Here is a 19,597-nt window from a genome sequence, read left to right on the forward strand (position 1 = left end):
CCCAGCCATATGCCCCTGGTGACTTGCCTTTAAGAAATGAGATGCTTTGATCCCCAGCCAATTCCTGCTGCTCTAAACTTGAATGGAGTTTTGCTGGCCAAGCTCTTCATTCAGGATTGTAATTTAGTACAGTGAGGATGAAACAGTTCCTTAGAACTCACTGAGATACTAAAGTCTCCAGAATAAGGGCAGAGGAGTGGCCTTTGTCCTAGAGATAGGCAATGACCTGCTCAGTCCTGTCCACTTACGTGCAGATCTGCCTAGACATCTCACAGTGCCAACCTGTTGCCTCTCCAACTGGCCACAGTCCACAACTTCCTTCTTTCTGGGAAAGGCCCAAGGAGTGGTTAATGGATCTTTTTCATCTTAAACCTGAAAAAGCGAATCAAATGTTCAAAGACCAAAACGTGTAATTACAAGTTTGATCTAAGGTAAGACTCAAGCAAGAGAAACGACTCCCTGGAATAAGTATTGGGAGAGATTTCCTTGCAGAGCATTAGGGGAGGGCAGGTTCCCATGTTTGGGGTGGAATAATGACTTTTTGTTATTTTTAAGGATCTTAAAATATTTTATTAACCTCATAGTGTCAGGCCTCTGTGCCCAAGCCAAGCCATCGCATCCCCTGTGACTTGCATGTATACGCCCAGATGGCCTGAAGTAACTGAAGAATCACAAAAGAAGTGAATATGCCCTGCCCCGCCTTAACTGATGACATTCCACCACAAAAGAAGTGTAAATGGCCGGTCCTTGCCTTAACTGATGATATTCCACCACAAAAGAAGTGAAAATGGCCAGTCCTTGCTTTAAGTGATGACATTACCTTGTGAAAGTCCTTTTCCTGGCTCATCCTGGCTCAAAAGCTCCCCCACTGAGCACCTTGCGACCCCCACTCTGCCCGCCAGAGAACAACTCCCCTTTGACTGTCATTTTCCTTTATCTACCCAAATCCTATAAAACGGCCCCACCCTTATCTCCCTTCGCTGACTCCCTTTTCGGACTCAGCCCGCCTGCACCCAGGTGATTAAAAGCTTTTATTGCTCACACAAAGCCTGTTTGGTGGTCTCTTCACACAGACGCGCATGAAACATAGTGCCTGACCTCTGTCACCAAGTGAGTAGTCTGTGTTTTGATTCCCAAGCCTAATTCAAACAGGTAAACTTACTAAAATTACATTTGGTCATCACTACAGTGTTTTCTCTAACCACTTCCCAAATTCGCCCTTTTTATTAGTCATACAGTAACCTGTATAATACATAGCTTATGACTTGTCTTTTTGGTCCTATGAGTGGCCATACCTGTCCCCGAGGAAGGAAGATACATAGTTAGGTGGAATGTTTGGTTCAGTGTCCACCTGATTGTTCAGCCTATGGATAGATCGAGGCCTAAGTGTTCAAGCCACTTCCTAAATGGTCTAGGGCAGTTCCCATGGCAACACCACCTCATTGACATAACCGGGTTCTCATTTACCAGCCTACAATCCAGGTGAGCTTTCCTGCCACCAGGTGGAGACTGACTCAAATCTATAAACTGGGATATTCTCTGCATATCCAAGAGGCAGATCATTTGAGAGGGAAAAAGCACACAAAGATAGGCTAGTGATTCCCAAACATGACTGCTCAGAGGTACCAAAGGGGCACTTGAAATATACAGATGGCTGCCTGTAGATGACATTAAAATTATTGTCTTGCTGAATGTGATCATTGCATTTGTGATGCAGAGTGATTTGCTTTAGAATATTCAGGCACGAATAAAAAGAGGGTTAGTCCCCATGGAAAATAATGTCATATGCAAATTAGGTAATTAGAGAGCATTTGCTGTTTCTAAAGATGTGGGCAGGGCTTAGGGAAATCAAAAAAGGGTGAAATAAGCAACACTAGGGAAACCACAATTCTTAGACCTGAAGTGTCAAGGGGCGGGAATCGTTAAGACGCTATGGACAGATGCAGGCTGCCAGGGAAGGCTGGCTGCCTTCAGCTGTGCCCTGGGGTGGAGGGACATAGCCATTGCCAACGCCCAAGGAAGGGGGAGCCAGAGAAATGCATGGCCCAACCTTGCTCTCCTCCTAATTTCCAGTCCCTGCTGGAGACAAAAGGCAAGGGAACCTGGTGAAAACAGTTGTTGAGTTCATCCTTCCTGAGGCTCAGAGCAGGGTATAGTGGACCTGCTCTGGGGGTGGCGAATGAAGAACAGCCTGCATAGGATAGATCAAACAAATACAACAAAGCCTTGGTGACTATTGAAGCTGGCCAACGTATACTTAACGGGGCCATTGCCTTTCTTAGTATTGAGTCTATTTGTACTTTTTCATCATTAAGTTAAAAGCAATGCAGATTCCCAGGCCTGACTCCAGAACTAGCCAATCTGAATCTTTATGACATGGAGCCCAAGAATCTGGGTTTTTTAAAAAAGATCCTCAGGTTTTAGCCTCTCATCTAATCCAAGTTTTTTTTTTAACAGCAAACTCTGTAAAAAGAAAAATTGAGTCCCTGTAGAAGTGACTTGTTCGAAAATCACAGAGTCAGCGGTAGAGATTGGACAGAATGGAAGAAACCAGTCCCAGAAGAGTTCTTAGTAACAACGTCAGAGGCAGCAAGAATACTATGGCTATTATAGCCACGTTCTGAGCGCTCACTGTAAAGAGTTTAAAACAAGGCCCAGTGCATAAAACTACTCAACAAATCATAGCTGTTATTCCTACAAGTTGTTTTAAGTCTGGACAAATTTCTGAGGTCGCTATTTCCTTTTTTCTTCCGTTTCAAACAGATGAAGAAACTGAAATCTAGATAAGCTAAGCCCCTTCCTGGGTGTCACTCTAGTTACTAGGTTTTGGACACAAGCCTGTACAATTCCAAAGCCCGAGCTGTTAATGTGGTTTGTAGGAGAACACACTCTCTTCTGAAGTCTAGACTATGTTGGTAGCACCATCTTCACTTTGCTTCTCCAAGTCCCTCTTTGGGCTTGTGGGTCTGTAGTATTATTGCATCACGCATCACTTTTCCTACACAATTGGAGCAGCAGTGAGACTTTTCTAAGTTCCTCGAGGGCAGGGACTGAGCCTTCATAGAGCTAGCCAGCCTCAGCATCCTGCAGTGCCTTGCACCCAGTAAACACCTAAGGGACGTTTTTTTGTTGACTAAATGAAACAAAGTAAAGTCAACCCTTAAACATGCACAGTAGGGCCAGGCATAAAGGCTAATGCCTGTAATCCCAGCACTCTGGGGAGCTGAGGTGGGAGCATTGCTTGAGGCCAGGAGTTTGAAACCAACCTGGGCAGCAGCATAGCAAGATCCCATATCTCCAAAAAATAAAAGTATAATTAAAAAAGAATAGCAATCCACCCATTTGCCATGCTTCCATTTTGTACCTTGGTAATCAAAGCTAATAGATAGTCAAAGTCCTTGTCAGGCCTGGTAAATTATCAAAGTTCTTGTTAGGCCTCGAAACAATTTTGAAATCCTCAACTGAGGATGTCATTCAGCCACAATTTATGAGTTGGACTGGGCTTGTGAGATAAATTTTATCGTGCTGCCTCTTTGTAGCAGGCTTTTTAAAAGTTGTTACCCTTCATCCAAGAATGTTATTGTTTGTTGAAAATAAGATCACAGATCTCAGATTCAGAAGAACCTAATCCAGGCCCTATGTGTAAATGTTGGCTGAGTGCCTTTGAACAAATTTCCTACCTTCTCTGAGTTTGAAGCCCTTGGCTGTAGATTGGGAATGCCAACATCCATTCATCATGGTTCTTACAAGAATTAAAGGAGAAAGCATTTGCAACAATACCTGATACAATCCGAAGCATCATATAAATATATGTTTGTTATCAAAAACAATAATGCCACTGGCCTTATGGGAGTAGATGCTAGTTATTCTCTGTGATACTAACTTTATAAATGTAGTGGTGGCATCCTGGGTAGCCCTAAGTCTTTCTTATTAACCTCTTGTTGATTTATCATCCATAAAGGTAGGAAAATGTTCTCTGAGCCTATTTATTTTATACTTTCTATGATCCATTTGCCCCGTCCGGGAGGGAGGTGGGGGGATCAGCCCCCCGCCCGGCCAGCCGCCCGGTCCGGGAGGTGAGGGGCGCCTCTGCCCGGCCGCACCTACTGGGAAGTGAGGAGCCCCTCTGCCCGGCCACCACCCCGTCTGGGAGGTGTACCCAACAGCTCATTGAGAACAGGCCATGATGACAATGGCGTTTTTGTGGAATAGAAAGGGGGGAAAGGCGGGGAAAGGATTGAGAAATCGGATGGTTGCCATGTCTGTGTAGAAAGAGGTAGACACGGGAGACTTTTCATTTTGTTCTGTACTAAGAAAAATTCTTCTGCCTTGTGATCCTGTTGATCGGTGACCCTACCCGCAACCCTGTGCTCTCTGAAACATGTGCTGTGTCCACTCAGGGTTAAATGGATTAAGGGTGGTGCAAGATGTGCTTTGTTAAACAGATGCTTGAAGGCAGCATGCTCCTTAAGAGTCATCACCACTCCCTAATCTCAAGTACCCAGGGACACAAACACTGCGGAAGGCCGCAGGGTCCTCTGCATAGGAAAACCAGAGACCTTTGTTCACTTGTTTATCTGCTGACCCTCCCTCCACTATTGTCCTATGACCCTGCCAAATCCCCCTCTGTGAGAAACACCCAAGAATGATTAAAAAAAAAAAAAAAAAAAAAAAGAAATATGAGGTCCATAAGTTTACTGTCTTTTGCATGAAGTAGATTCTCCTTTTATCTGCTAAAACAATCCCCTAGTTAGAGCAAATTCTCCTGCTGTTTCAGAACTTCTTGCTTATATATGGTAACTACAATCCTTTATCTAAAACTCTTGGCCAGGCTGGGCACAGTGGCTCACACCTGTAATCCCAGCACTTTGGGAGGCTGGGACGGGCGGATCACCTGAGGTCAGGGGTTCGAGACCAGGCTGGCCAACATGGTGAAACCTTCTCTCTACTAAAAATACAAAAATGAGCCGGGTGTGGTGGCGGGCACCTGTAGTCCCAGCTTCTCAGTAGGCTGAGGCAGGAGAATTGCTTGAACCCGGGAGGCGGAGGTTGCAGCGAGCCGAGATTTCGCCACTGCACTCTAGCCCGGGCAACAGAGTGAGAGTTCATCTCAAAAAACAAACAAACAAACAAACAAACAAACAAAAACACTCGGGCCAGATGTGTTATGAAATTTAGGATTTTTTGAATGTTAGAAAGGCAATACTCTATGTATGCCATTTATTATTTAACACCGATCATTGAACTCATTAATCCTTCTACACAGGAAAACATTAATATTCACATTAAGTGGACTAAATAGATTAAGTTACATTATGCCAGACAGAGTCGGGATGAATGAGTTTAGTTTAGGCTCAGGTTTGGTCATCAAATGAATCACCAAAAAAAAAAAAAAATTTGTTTTCAGAGCTTTCTGGATTTCAGAATTTCAGATAAGGGAATGTAGGTCTCGGCTTCTGTATTTCACAGGGAGGAGTAGTCCGAGTAGGTGTCTGCCAACAAGGATAAAATTAGCCAGGATCCCAACAGGCAGAAGTTCAAGTGCACAAAAAGCAACCTCCTCTTTTCAGTAACTATGCATTCCTTCCTCCTCTGCATTCCTGCATGCTGCTGCCAGTGCTGATGTGCTAGAACATAGCTTGCATCATGTCACTCCCTGACTCAACACCCTTCCATGGCTCGCTAACATTCAGCCCCTTAGCCTGACACACAAGACCTTTAGTGATCTAACCTCTGACTGACTGACTTTAAGTCTCATCTCTTGGTCTTCCTCCAGAAATCACCTGTAATTGGCAGATCCTCGACACTGGACACTTGCAGCGCTTGGGCCAGCTCTGCCTGGCATGTTCTTGTCCTCCCCTTCATCTTGCTGAAATTGCATTCAACTACCAACAGGTGGCTCTGAGGTTAACCCTTTGCTGACACCCACACTTCCCTGCACACAGCTGGGCATATGGTTCTGTGAGCTCTAATCCAGAAGGCAGCTGCTCTCCCCCAAACCAGGCTCCACCAGCGAGCGGACGCTATAACTCTGTATCACCAGTACCCTGCACCATGCACATTGTAGGCACTCAAAACACACAGAGATGATCAGACCACCTGCTAAAGGGTATTATCTCCTACTTAATACTCCTTAGCAGCTTCCAGTGCACTTAGAATAAAGCCCCACATCTTAACAAGGCCCGGGTTCATCAGGTCTCTGCCTACCTTGCCCTGTTTTATCTCTCAGTACCTCATCTTCCCATCCATGGTCCAGCTACATTAGCCTGTTTAGTTTATGGGGAGACCTACGTCCCTCCCCCTTTCACATGGTTAGCCCCTCCTCATCCTATATCTTTCAACATAGGCATCACTCCCTGGGAGAATGGCGTTCCTTTGTTTCATGTGATAGAGGGATCCGACTCCCCACACAATATCCTTTCTGCCTTTTGTCCTTGGTTTTAGAATCATGATTTTATTTTAGGGTGACATGAGCCCAGTTAAAGTCTATTATTTCCAGCCTCTCTTGCAGATAGGTGGCCATGTAACAGGGTTCTGATGAGGACATGTAAGTGGAATTTGATTGGTTAATACTCACAGGAAAGCTCTTTAAAGGGGTATAGCGTTTTGTTCTTCAGCCTTCCTGGAATATGAACCTGATGCCTGGAGCTCCTGTGGCCATCTAGCACCATGAGATATGCTAAAAATTATGGGCCAGAGGACCGAAGGGGCCTGAGTTCCTGATGACTGTAGAGTCGCTGTACCAGCCATCTCTGAATTTTATTTATGAGAGAGAAAAACTGCTAATATTTAAACCACTGTGATTCTTAAAAATGGAAAAAAATCCTGCAAATCTAATCCTACCATTATGTTATTATCTGAATTTGTAATTAAACATTTATTTGAAGGATTATTTGGTTACTGTCTCTCTCCCAGTAGACAGATTGTTAATAGCCTGGAGGATAGGCGCAATATGGATTTTTGCTTACACTGCGACATGGCCAGTGTGTAGTAGCTACTGACCAATGAAACAAATGCCATCTTATTTTATATCAGCTCTGGAAGCTTGCCACCAGGTCCTTCTGTTTAGATCTCCAAGCTTGCATGTATTAGTCTGTTCTCATGCTGCTAATAAAGCCATACCTGAGTCTGGGTAATTTCTAAAGGAAAGAGATTTAATTGACTCACAGTTCCACATGGCTGGGGAGGCCTCACAATCATAGCGGAAAGCAAAGGGGAAGCAGGACGTGTCTTACATGGCAGCAGGCAAAAGAGTTTGTGTAGGGGAACTCTCATGTATAAAACCATCAGATCTTGTGAAACTTATTCACGACCACGGGAACAGCATGAAGGAACCACCCGGTGATTCAATTATCTTCACCTGGCCCCACCCTTGACCTGTGGGGAGTATTACAATTCAAGGTGAGATTTGGGAGAGGATAGAGCCAAACTATATCATTGCAGTTTGCACTGCATATAGAAATGATGACTCTCAGACACTTGAGGTAAGAAAAAGAATTCCTACAAATAAAGATTCTTCCGTGCATCTCTCTTCTTTCCCAAGTGTCTGCTGCTCAGGAAAGTTCCAGCTGGCACAGTTCCATCTCTCTTTTATCATGCTCCTCTTGTGCCATTATTCTCTCGTTCTTTCTGATCTAACGAGTCTGAACTGCTTATCCTGTAACGTACCATGCTTTTCCCTTTCTCCCGGTCTGTGCATGTGCTGTTCCTTCCTGGAACTCATTTTACCTCTCTAGTGCCTAGTCATCCACAGGTCTCCGTTTGATGGCGCCTCCTCCAGGAAGCCTTTCCAGTCCCTGTAAGCCCAGGCCCTTCCCTACAGTGCTCCCGGGCCTCCCCACTCTCCATTACAGCATTTACAACACTGTATTATGTCCTCTATCCTCTGTATTGTGAGTTGAATTGTATTCTCCAACAAGATACGTTGAAGTCCTAACCCCCGAACCTGTAAATGTGATCTTACCTGGAAATAGGGTCTTTGTAGATGTAATCAAGTTATGATGAGGTCATTAGGGTGGGCCCTGATCCGATACAAAGTGTGTCCTTTTGAGAAGAGGAAAATCTGCATATAGACAGACACGGAGGGAAAACGCCGTGTAAAGACGGAGGCAGAGATTGGAGTGACGCATCTAGGAATCAAGGCATATCAAGGACTGCTGGTTCCTACCAGAAACTAGGAAAATGCACAGAGCACATTCTCCTCCAGAGGGAATGAACCTGCCAATGCCGTGATTTTGGACTTGTAGCTATTAGTGTGAGAGAATAAATTTCTATTGTTTTAAGCCACCCAATTTGTGGTACTGTGTTATGGCAGCCCGAGTAAATGAATGCACCCTATAAGGCTAAAAACTGCAGGGATGGCGATGAGGCTGCTCTTGTCATGGGAAGCCCTGTATCCATCTCTTCTCATTTCTAAGCATCCGATCTTGGCCATGATTATCAGCATCACTGATGGTTTTGCCTGGGTACCATGTAGGCCTTTGACCTATTATTGCCATCTCTAGGTGACCTCATGAGAGACACTTTTCCACTGGGGCCCCTGAGTGTCTTTGTCCTCCCAGCTGTTCCTCCCACCCACTCCACAGCACAAGACCTAAACCTCTGACTGCATCTCCCCACTCCTCTTGGTAAGATCCATACTGTTGAAACAGCGACCGCTAAACCACCAGGACAATTCCTTTTTCTTCTAGAATCCTCCTTGACTCTTCCAGAAACTTAAACATTGGCTGACTATTCCTGCCAAAGCCCCATAAAACCATCAGCATGTGCTCCTGGCATCTCTTCGGAGCCTTCTTAAGAGTACACAGTATTGTGGTTTGAATTGTGTCCCCCAAAAACCTATGTTCAAGTCCCAACCCTGGTACCTGTGAACATGCTCTAATTTGGAATTAGGGTCTTTGCAGATGCAATCAACTTATGATGAATTTATAATGAATTAGGGTGAGTCCTTAATCCAACATGATTGGAGTCTTCATGAGAGGAGCAGAGGAACCGAGACAGACACACAGATGAGGAGGCGGCCATGTGAAAACACGGATGCCCAGGAGGAAGAGAAACACGTGATCACAGAGGCAGCTATGGGAGTCATGCAGCTACGAACCAAGAAACACCACCAATTATAGCAACCAGGAGCTAGGAAGAGAGGAAGTGGCCCTGCTGACCCCTTGATTTTAGACTCCTAGTCTCCAGCCTTGAGAGAGAATACATTTCTGTTCCTTTAGGCCACTCAATTTGTGAGACTTTGTTATGGCAGTCCTATGAGACTGAATATACAAATAGACCATGGCCAGACAACATATAAAGCCGACCTCTGATCCACAACCTGAAGCAACCAGCCCAGGAAGCCAATCTACTGCCTACAGCAACTAGTCCAGAAAGTTAGCCTCCTGTCTGTAGTAACCAGCCCAGGATGCCACACAACAACCGCTGTAGCAATCAGCCCCAAGTGGCCAGGATATCATCAGTAACTGACAGCTTCCCCAACTTGTGTCCCCATGTTCAACTTAGGCCCAATCAGAGGAAGCCAAAGATGCACGCTAGCCCATCACATAGGATTGCCCCACTTCTCGTTAGCCCACCTCCCATGCCAACAACCTGAATCAGGGCTGAAATCTTCTCCTTCTTCCCTTTACAAAGCTTTCTGGCTCCTCTGCCTGCTTTTGCGTCTCTGTCAAACACACATGATGGTGGCTGACTCCCTTCCTGTAGCAAGCTCGGGTTGGTCTCATTTGGGTGGAAGGCAACTAATGAGAATTGGGAAATGAATACACCCGCATTTTTAAATAAAGTCTTAGACTAACAGTGTCCTGGTTCCTTCTCATCCACACCTTTCTCTGACGTCATTTTAGGCAGTTTTAGAGAGGTGAGCTTATTTTGAACGTATTTTGTGACTCATTAAATATCTCATTCACCATAATCTCCCCAGTCTCTGGCTGAATGCCAAGCAGATAGCAAGTGCTCAATTAATACCTTGTTTAATGGAATTGATGGTTCTCTTTTACCTGCCTGGGTAGAGATCACCTGGCCAGAGCATCATACTTCACAGGGGAAAGCTGTTGTACAGAACAGGCACGGCCTCATGCTTATTTAATACCCTAATAAAGGAGCTTTCCCACTAGATAATGTGATCCGGAGTGGACGGTTAATCACAGCTGGTCAATATTTATGAGGCCAGAAACCCAGCTGTGCCGTATGAGTTATTTACAAGCCAATTCTGGAGCCCATAAGCCTGCCTGTGAGACCCACCTGTTCCTAGGAACTGGAGCTAGTGAGACCGCCAAGGCGTGAAGTAGAGACCCTGTCCTCATCCCAGCAATTCAAATGACAACTCAGATGCCCCCCTGCTATCTTCCTGGAGCAGTAGGCATTTCTTTTGAATAAAAAGCTAAGCTTTGGCTTTTCTTCACTGCAAGCTTCAACACTCCCTTTACCAACCCCCTCCAGGTAATCACAGCAAAAACAGAAAAATCAGACAAGCACCAGGTACCCTAAGGCACTGGTTTTTCAACCTGGCTGTGCATTAGAAGCACCTGGGGGTGCTTGTTGATACTGCAAGTACTAGAGTCTCACCTAGCCCTGCAAGTGGGGCTGGGTACTGGGGCTTTTAAACATGCTGGGTGCCTGAGATTTGGGGTACCTGAAACCAATTTACAGATTCACTCTGAGAACTGCTGCTTCTAAGGCCCGTGGATTTAAAAGCAAAATGCCACACATGTGGGCATTCAGACTAATTGTGGAGATTCTTCAGATCTTGAAATAAGACATATCTGGTCTATGTGAGAAGCAGCATGGAATCATAAAAAAGCTCAGGCTTTGGGGTCTGAGAGATGCCCTGCCTGGTTCTGCATCTTCCCAGCTGTGTGGCTTTAGTTGTGCTGAACCCCTCTTAACCTCAGCGGATTCAAGACGCTGAAGACAGAGCCGGCAAAGGAGACATGAGATTTTATTTGGGGCTTCCGTACAGGGGAGAGTCCAGCAGCAGCGGGCTGGGCAGGAGAACCGCAACCCCCTGCACACAACATGCAGTTTATGCAGTATTTTCACTTAACACCCTTCCCCTAACGACCTCCACTTGGCAACCTTCATTTGACCCCAAACTCAGGGCCTCGATCCCCTGTACGGCCTGTGTGCCACAGGACAGGCCAGGGGCTCAGATGTTTATAGATCAGGAATGATATCTGGGCTGGTCACCCCCGGATTCCCTAGTTCGGAACACACATTCAGGAGCATCTGCCATACAGGGTCAGTCTAAGGGTGTGATGAAGCTATTGCTATTAGGTGTGTTTACCCCACAGCACATCATTTGCACTCTCTGAACCTGTGTCTTTACCATAAAAGTGGATAATAAAGGTTATTGGGAGGATTCATGAGTTTAGCACAAGGAAGAGGGAAAATATAGCAAGCACCTACCTGTTCCCAGCAATGTACCAGACAACGGAGATAAAGTGGTACATAAGAAACAGCCCTTGCCCTCTTAGAGCTTGTAGCCTAGTCTAAGGGACAGACATGAAATAATTAAAACAAACAGGTCATTGCACGTGTGATAAACTCAGCGAAAGAAAAGCATAGCATATTACCGGAGCGTGAAACTGATGACCGTGAGCTCCTCTGAGGGTCGGTGATAGGACATCCAATTAGAGAGCTGCAGAGGAGGAGGAGTACCAGGCCATGGAAGGGGTTGGAGGCTAGAAGGGGCTTTCCAGGCAGAGGGAGCAGAGTTTTCAAAAGTCCTGTGGCAGGATTGAGCGGTCAGGAAGCTAAAAGGTATTCTAGAAAACCCTTTGCGAATAAAGTTTAAAGCTTCCCCAATTTAAACAGAAATGGAGCCCTGCCTAAATGTAAAAGGCTACTAAGTAGAACTTGCTTATTGTGGCAGACAAGCTGTGGGGTTCTGGCCAGTTGTCTGCATCCGTCTCTGAGAATTCTTTTCCTTCAGCCACGGGGGAAGGAAGGCCCCTTCAGCCTAATGGGACCTGCGTAAGCCCACCCCTCTTCTGCAGCTGTTCGGCCAGGAGCGAGCTTTGGTTGGCTTCTTGCCGCTTAAATATTTCTCTCTCTCTCTCTGAATCAAGAAACAGAGATGAGAGAGTTGGCCGTTTAGTTACTTTAATGGCGCAACTTTAGAATGTCTAGACTTCTGCTTCAGAGAGATGCCTGGCTCCTACCTTCTGATAAGGCTGGCAGGTGAGCATTTCCTTAAATTCCACTCAAGTAGCCAATGTGAGTAGGTTATCATTCTTTATAACTAAACAACCTCTAGATCCTTCCACCTCCACCTCCACCTGGGGTTCTACAAGGCCCCATGGGCTAGGAAAGCCCGGCATTCATCAGGTTAAATCCCACCAGATTTGTATCTCTTCTGGTCCTGGTCATTTCCGTTGCTGACCCCCTGGAAGAATGAGTTCCTGTGAATGGCTTCACGGTCGTGGCTCTCAGGTAATTCCCATCAGATGGTGGCTGGCAGGTGCGACAAGTCGCTGTGGAGCCGCACACTGGGATTGCTGAAGCTCTACTCACAGTGTCCCGACCTAGCAGAACATTCCCTAGCAAAGAACAGGGCCTGACATAACTCCCTTCCACACCTCGGCTGATATTCCTCTAAAATGGCAAAGCAAGGTTGTACATCCACAGGTCCCTGCCGTCCACGGACCCCCTACCCAACACAGTGAGACTCTTCTGAGGCCCGGGAAGTGGTTGGGAAACCCTGGAGGTGGGTAGGATGGGATTTAATATTTACTGAACAGTTACTCTACAACAGGCGTAGTACTGGGTATTTTTTTTTCAGTTGACTCTCACTGTCACCTGTGAAGTAAATATCTTTTCCTATTTTACAGTGAGAAAACTGAAGTTCTGAGTTTAAAAACATGTTCATTTGCAATTATGTAGCTCAAATTACAATCCACCTATGTTCTGCACCTTTCAATAGCCATGTGACTCACCCTTTTAATGAAAGCTTCAGGGAAGTAAGGTAAGGACCCTGGAACTATTGCAAAGACGGACAAAGGGGCTGCATGATAGCAGACCTCCAGAGCCATGATGACAACAAGAAGGGGGATGTTTTCACCCCACACCCCTAGAGGAACTTAAGGGCAGCCTTCTTCTGTGTGTGTGTGTGTGTGTGTGTGTGTGTGTGTGTTTAGAGGATAATTAAAAAGAAAAAACATATATTGTATCAACCCATTCTCTCGCTGCCATGGAGAAACACCAGAGACTGCATAACTTATTTTGTTAAAAAAGAGTTTTAATTAACTCACAGTTCCACATGGCTGGGGAGGCCTCAGGAAACTTACAATCACGGTGGAAGGCACCTCTTCACAGGGTAGCAGGAGAGAGAATGAGTGCCTAGCAAAGGGGGAAGCCCCTTATAAAACCATCAGCTCTCATGAGAGCTAACTCACTGTCATGAGAACAGGGGAAACCACCCCCATGATTCAATGACCTCCACCTGGTCCCTCCCATGACACGTGGGGATTACAGGAACTACAATTCGAGATGAGATTTGGGTGGGAACACAGTTAAACCATATAATATATATAGCTGCATATCTATCTATCAATCATCTATAATCTATCTGCCCTCAGAAATCTCAATTCCTGACTGTTCAGGAGAAGATGGAGAAGAGCCACATAATGTGGGCCTTCGAGTGATTCTGGATGGGCAGTGTGCCTTTTAAAGTGGTTGAGGGTGCACTGGTTTCTTTTTATTAATCTGGAAATGTAGCAGGCTGTGGTACCATATCAAGAGCCCCAGACTCAGTCAGAAGCCCTTGGTTCCATTTCTGATCTTGCTCTTTCCTAGCTGTGTGACCTTGAGCAAATCCTTATCTTCTCTGATCTTCAATTTCTACCTTTGTAAAATTGTACTAATAATGACACCTAACTTAAAAGCTTTTTAGGAGGGTTATTCCCCTCATTTTTGCAAGCGAGGAAACTGAGGCTTAGACATTCATTAATTCTTCCTATAGACATTTTTTATTTTTGAGATGGAGTATTGCTCTGTTGCTTAGGATGCAGTAGAGTGGCATGATCAACAGCTCACTGCAGCCTCAAATTCCAGGGCTCAAGCAATCCTCCCACCTCAACCTCTTGAGTAGCTGGGACCACAGACACGTGCTGCTACACCTGGATAATTTTATTTATTTAATTTTTTTGTAGAGATAGGGTCTTGTCATGTTCCCCACGCTGGTCTTGAACTCCTGGACTCAAGCAATCCTCCCACCTTGGCCTCCCAAAGTGCTGGGATTCGCGGTGTGAGCCACTGCACCTGGCCACAGACGTTTATTGAAGAATGATATAATGGGAGGGACAAAGAGAAGAGCCAGATAAAGCAGGTCTTTGAGTGATCCTGAATGGGCAGTGTGCCTTTTAAAATGGTTGAGAAACGTTGTTCTAAAGATCAAAGATAAAATAGAGAGAAAGCAGAGAAGAGTCTGCAATGCTGAGCTTCAGGGACCTCAATGTAGACCTCCAAAGACAAAGACATACATATTCTGTCTGGTTCCTGGCCTTTCAGGAATCTTGGGAAATCCTGGGTGAAACTATTTCATTTCTGGACAATAGGATGGGGTTGTGTGTGAGTCAGGGTCCTGGCAGAAAAAGCACAAAGGGGTGATTAAGGAGGTGTTCATAAAGATTCATCTTACAAATGGAGGTATAAGGAAAACTGAGGAGGAACAAGGAAGCACAGCCCAGCTAATACAGAGAGGAGCTGCTTCCCTTTCCACAGATCCAGTCCTGAAGGGCTAAAGGGAAGGAACAGTTTCTGGAACTAACAAGAGCCATGACTCCAACAGTGGAGCTGAGAGGAACTGTGGCCTTGGAAAAAGGAGCATGGCCTCTGCCCTTGGCTAGGGACTGAGGAAGTCAGGAGGAAGAAATAACCCAATCTCTTTCTGTTCCCCTCAACATTCTCCTATTGGTGCCTCCCATTGGCTGAATCAGAATAGAAGCTGGAAAGTAAGGGAGCTCACTGATGCAGCCTTGGAGATCAGTCCCACCTGAGACACGGAATGGGGTGGAAAAAGTGGGAGAATGCCCAGCACAACTCCTTACAAAGAAGAAGGGTACAGAAGTCCATTTTAGAAGGCAAGGTCTATGTATGTTGGGGAAGAAAACTACTGAGAGGCCCTTTAGCTAATTGAAAGGAGAAAGTGGTTCCATTGGAAGGGACAATCTGGCATTCCCTAATGGCCACATATCAAAGGAAGGCTTTGATTTGGCATCTCTTGGCACATGTACCTGTTTGGTATTGAAAAGTCAGTTCCAGAAAGCAAGACGTGAATCAACTCCCCAGTAAAGAGTTAGATTGGATTGCCACTTGATATTCTAAAAGAGGTGAAGAAATGGAATGTTTATCTCCTTGAAACTTATAGAATGTTATTTTGTGGACACTGTGGTGCGTCACCTAGTCCCCCTTCAGGAATGAGGGACTTACACCCTGACTGCTGGTAGCCCGATGCAGGGACTGGCTCTGATGAGTCCAGCAGGTGGGTGTTGTATCCAATGACTGATCAAGGTGCGGAGGTAAAGGCCCATTCCCTTCATCCCAACTAGGGTTGACGCTGAATGGCCAGCCCAGCTCCAGAGTGCCCCTTGGGGGCATTTAGCCATCAACAGGGTGCATTGCAAACCAGCTTCTCCCTCTGCCCAGTCCAGCTTCCTTCTCCTCCTTTCCTTGGGTATAAACCTCAAGAGCATGTGGGGCACACCCTGTATCCCAGAGTCTACTTCCTGACACTCCCACAAGCACAGTTATTAGAAGCTCCCTTATTAGCAATCCTTAAAAACAAAACCACTGTTGAGAGTTGACAAGCAGTAACAATAACAGACATCTGTGAAGCTTCATACTTCACTCAGCACTCATCACTCACTTAGTCTTCCCAGCAATCTGGAAAGGTTGGCAGACACTTGGAGGACTGGTGCCTTCCCTATTTTATTGTCTCACAAACAGGATGCCCAGCGTGGATGGGTATCAGCAAAATCCTGTTGTAGGCAGTAATTAGAAAATTTAGGATGATGATTGCCAAACTGTTTGATGAAACATGAGTACGCTACCAGATGTTAACAGGTGTTCTGTTTTAAAAAGTGGGAGTGATGTGTAGTCATATATTTTTGGAAAAGACTAAAATTGGTTTCTTGGCTGGGTGTGATGGCTCATGCCTGTAATCTCAGCACTTTGGGAGGTCAAGGCAGGAGGATCGCTTGAGCCCAGAGTTTGAGACCAGACTGGGCAAGATTCTTGCTGTCTCTATCTCTTTACAAACAAAAAATAAAACAATTAGCTGGTTATGGTGGTGTACACCTGTAGTTCCAGTTACTCAGGAGGCTGAGGCAGGAGGATTGCTTAAGCTTGGGAGGTGAAGGCTACAGTGAGCTGTGATCATGCCACTGCACTCCAGCCTGGGTAACAGAGTGAGACCCTGTCCCAAAAAACAACAAAAACGGGCTCTGGGGAGATGGGGAGGAAAAGCTTGGGGCTTTCTCCAGAGCCAGGTGGATTTTCCCAGAGCTTCTGGCTTCCTAGTCGACTCCGCTGAGGCTGTTGAAGGCACTGATGCTTTCAAGAGAGCAAATGAGAAGGAGAAAAATAAGCCTGGGTAGTTGTGTTCCAGCTGACTGATGTGGCAACGGCTCCTGCTGCTCTCCAGGGCTTTGGTCTGCTCCTGCTCACGACCCTCCATGACAGGAGTCCCTGGCTGAAGCCCAGAGCAGCCAACTCTTTTCTTGAGGCTAACTCTATCTCTTTGGTCCAGAAAATATCAAGCCAGAGTTCAAGTATGAGCCTGGCTATCTGATAGCAGGGAGGAAAATGCAAACCAACATTGAATAATATTCCTCTGCCTCATATTTACTTAGTGAATTCTCAATGATTTCCATGAATAGAGAGATCAGAAATGTGGCCAATCCCAAACAGCAGATCATTCCTAAGTCTGATTAGTGTGGGGTATATTTGCATTTGAAAATGAGAATCATGGATGCTCAGGGGTTTGACTTGTGTGAGACTCAGTGGCATCATGGTTCAGAGAGCTGGCTTGGGAGTCAGTGTCTGGTTCAAATCCCAGCTCTGTTCTTTCCTTTTCCTTCCTTTTCATACCTTTTCCTCCTTCCTTCCTCCCTCCCTCCTTCTTTTTTTTTTCTTCCTTTCTTTCCCAGGATGGAGTGTAGTGGCGCAATCTCAGCTCACCACAACCTCTGCCTCTTGGCTTCAAGTGATTCTTCCATCTCAGCCTCCCGAGTAGCTGGGATTAGAGGCGTGCGCTACCACCCCCAGCTAATTTTTGGAGTTTTAGTAGAGATGGGGTTTCACCATGTTGGCCAGGCTGGTCTCAAACTCCTGACCTCAAGTGATCCACCCACCTCAGCCTCCCAAAGTGCTGGGATTACAGGCATGGGCCACTGTGACTGGCCTTCAACTTTGTCATTTCTTACATGTCTTAGGTCGGGTGCCTCTGGAAGCTGGCCCTGAGACAAGGATTTGAATGTAAGTAGTTCACTGGGAGGTGATCCCAAGAGTCATTGTCTGGGCATGGAGAGTCTAATGGTGAGGGAGGGCAGCTGAAAAAGGGTGTGTTATTGATCAGCTTTCTACTATGGACAACTGAGGCTGTGTCATACTGGACAGAACTTAGGAGACCGTGTAAAGCAGGACTCAGAGGGATCCCACCCAAAAGGCAAGGAAGCATGTCCCTCAGTAGCTGAGGGTTGCTCCTGGAAGCATTCACTCTCTGGTAGCTCTGGCCTGCCCCATGTGGGGGTGGAGAGAAAGCTTTCAGATGGAGAATTGCAGGTACCTGCAGTAGGACGGTAGGATGTGGCAAGGACTGGGAGGGTGAAGACTGAGGGGATATGGATGAACCACCAATGGATCTGGTAAGCAAGAAAACTTTCTGTTCCTCTATTTTCTCATGTGTGAAATGTGGATGGCTAATAGCATCTATCTTGTAGGCTGTTGTGCGGATTACAGGAAATAATGCTGTAAAGCAAGGGTCTCCAACCCCAACCGCACCGCCCACCCCGTCCCCCGCCCTGGTAGCAGTCTGTGGCCTTTTAGGAACCAGGTCACACAGCAGGAAGTGAGGAGTGGGAGAGCCAGTGAAGCTTCACCTGTGTTTACAGCTGCTCCCAATTGCTCACATTACTGCCTGAGCTCCGCCTCCTGTCAGATCAACTGCGGCATCAGATTCTCAAAGGAGCACAAACCCTATTGTGAACTGCACATGCAAGGGATCTAGGTTGTTCACTCTTGATGATAATCTAATGCCTGATGATCAGTCACTTTCTCCCATAACCCCAAGATGGAACCGTCTAGTTGAAGGAAAACAAGCTCAGAGATCTCACTGATTCTACATTATGGTGAGTTGTATAATTATTTCATTATATATTACAATGTAACAATAATAGAAATAAAGTGTACAAAAAATGTAATGTGTTTGAGTCATCCCAAAACCATCCCCACACCCCTATTAGTGGAAAAATTGTCTTCCATGAAACCAGTCCCTGGTGCCAAAGAGGTTGGGGACTGCTGCTCTAAAGCACACACAGAGCATGTTAGTGATCTATTACAGCTGACCCTTGAACAACATGGAGGCTAAGGGTACACAGTTGAAAATTTGGATATAACTTTTGATTCCCCAAAATCTTAACTGCTAATAACCTACTGTTGACCAAAAGCCTTACTGATAACATAAACAGTCAATGAAGACATATTTTGTATGCTCATGTATTGAAGCATATAGGTGGCTGTATTCTTACAATAGAGTCAGCTGGAGGAAAGAAAATGTTATTAAAATCTTAAAGAAGAGAGAATATATTTACTATTCATTAATCATAAAGGTCTTCATCCTCATTGTTTTCAAGTTGAGTAGGTTGAGGAGGAGGGGGAAGAGGAGGAGTTGGTCTTGCTGTTTCCAGTTGGCAGAGGCAGAAGAGGTGGAGGAGCTGGAAGGGGAGGCAGGAGAGGCAGGCATGCTCAATGTAACTTTTATTGAAAAAAACCTGCATATAAGTAAACCTGCATAATTTAAACCCATTTTGTACAAGGATCGACTGTACTCTCTAACAAACCACCCCAAAACTTAATGACTTGAAACCACAGCAATCATTTATTGTACCTCACAGTTTGCATGGATAATTCAGATGGAGTACACTTGGGGCCGCTTAGCTCTGCTCCACTATCTGGGGGGCTGCAGCTGGAAGACTTGGAAGCTAGGGGCTGGGATCATCTGAAGGCCTAATCAGGGCTGGAGCATCCATTTCCAAGGTGACTCACACACATGGCTGGCAAATTGGTGCTGGATATTGGCCAAAGGCATCAGTTTCTCCCCACACAGGCCTTTCCTGAAGACTGCTTGAGTGTCCTCACAACATGGCAGCTGCCTTCCTCCAGAGCAAGCTATCCAAGAGGCAAAGGCAGATGCCTCAATGTCTTTTATGGCATAACCTCAGAAGTCACATACCATTCCTTATGTAATATTCTTCTGCTCACACAGGTCAACTCTGCTTCATTGTGGGAAGGGACTACCCAAGGGCATGTGTACTAGAAGGTAAGGACGACAGAGGGCCATCTTGGAGGCTGGCCACCAAACAAAGTGATAGACGCA

At 45.8% G+C, this 19,597-nt stretch overlaps 4 annotated features.

Moving 5' to 3' along the window:
* Positions 1–867: an enhancer, noted in NCBI's record as "OCT4-NANOG-H3K27ac hESC enhancer chr3:71974040-71974906 (GRCh37/hg19 assembly coordinates)". NCBI's record gives its function as "activates a minimal SCP1, AML or CMV promoter by ChIP-STARR-seq in naive and primed H9 embryonic stem cells {active_cell/tissue: H9 hESC(naive and primed)}" and the evidence as "EXISTENCE:reporter gene assay evidence [ECO:0000049][PMID:30033119]".
* Positions 868–1,735: an enhancer, noted in NCBI's record as "OCT4-NANOG-H3K27ac-H3K4me1 hESC enhancer chr3:71974907-71975774 (GRCh37/hg19 assembly coordinates)". NCBI's record gives its function as "activates a minimal SCP1, AML or CMV promoter by ChIP-STARR-seq in naive and primed H9 embryonic stem cells {active_cell/tissue: H9 hESC(naive and primed)}" and the evidence as "EXISTENCE:reporter gene assay evidence [ECO:0000049][PMID:30033119]".
* Positions 2,934–3,799: an enhancer, noted in NCBI's record as "H3K27ac-H3K4me1 hESC enhancer chr3:71976973-71977838 (GRCh37/hg19 assembly coordinates)". NCBI's record gives its function as "activates a minimal SCP1, AML or CMV promoter by ChIP-STARR-seq in primed H9 embryonic stem cells {active_cell/tissue: H9 hESC(primed)}" and the evidence as "EXISTENCE:reporter gene assay evidence [ECO:0000049][PMID:30033119]".
* Positions 13,367–13,416: a silencer, noted in NCBI's record as "silent region_14523". NCBI's record gives its function as "represses an Ori minimal core promoter by ATAC-STARR-seq in GM12878 lymphoblastoid cells {active_cell/tissue: GM12878}" and the evidence as "EXISTENCE:reporter gene assay evidence [ECO:0000049][PMID:35858748]".

Source organism: Homo sapiens, chromosome 3 (assembly GCF_000001405.40).
Source record: "Homo sapiens chromosome 3, GRCh38.p14 Primary Assembly".
NCBI lineage: Eukaryota > Metazoa > Chordata > Mammalia > Primates > Hominidae > Homo > Homo sapiens.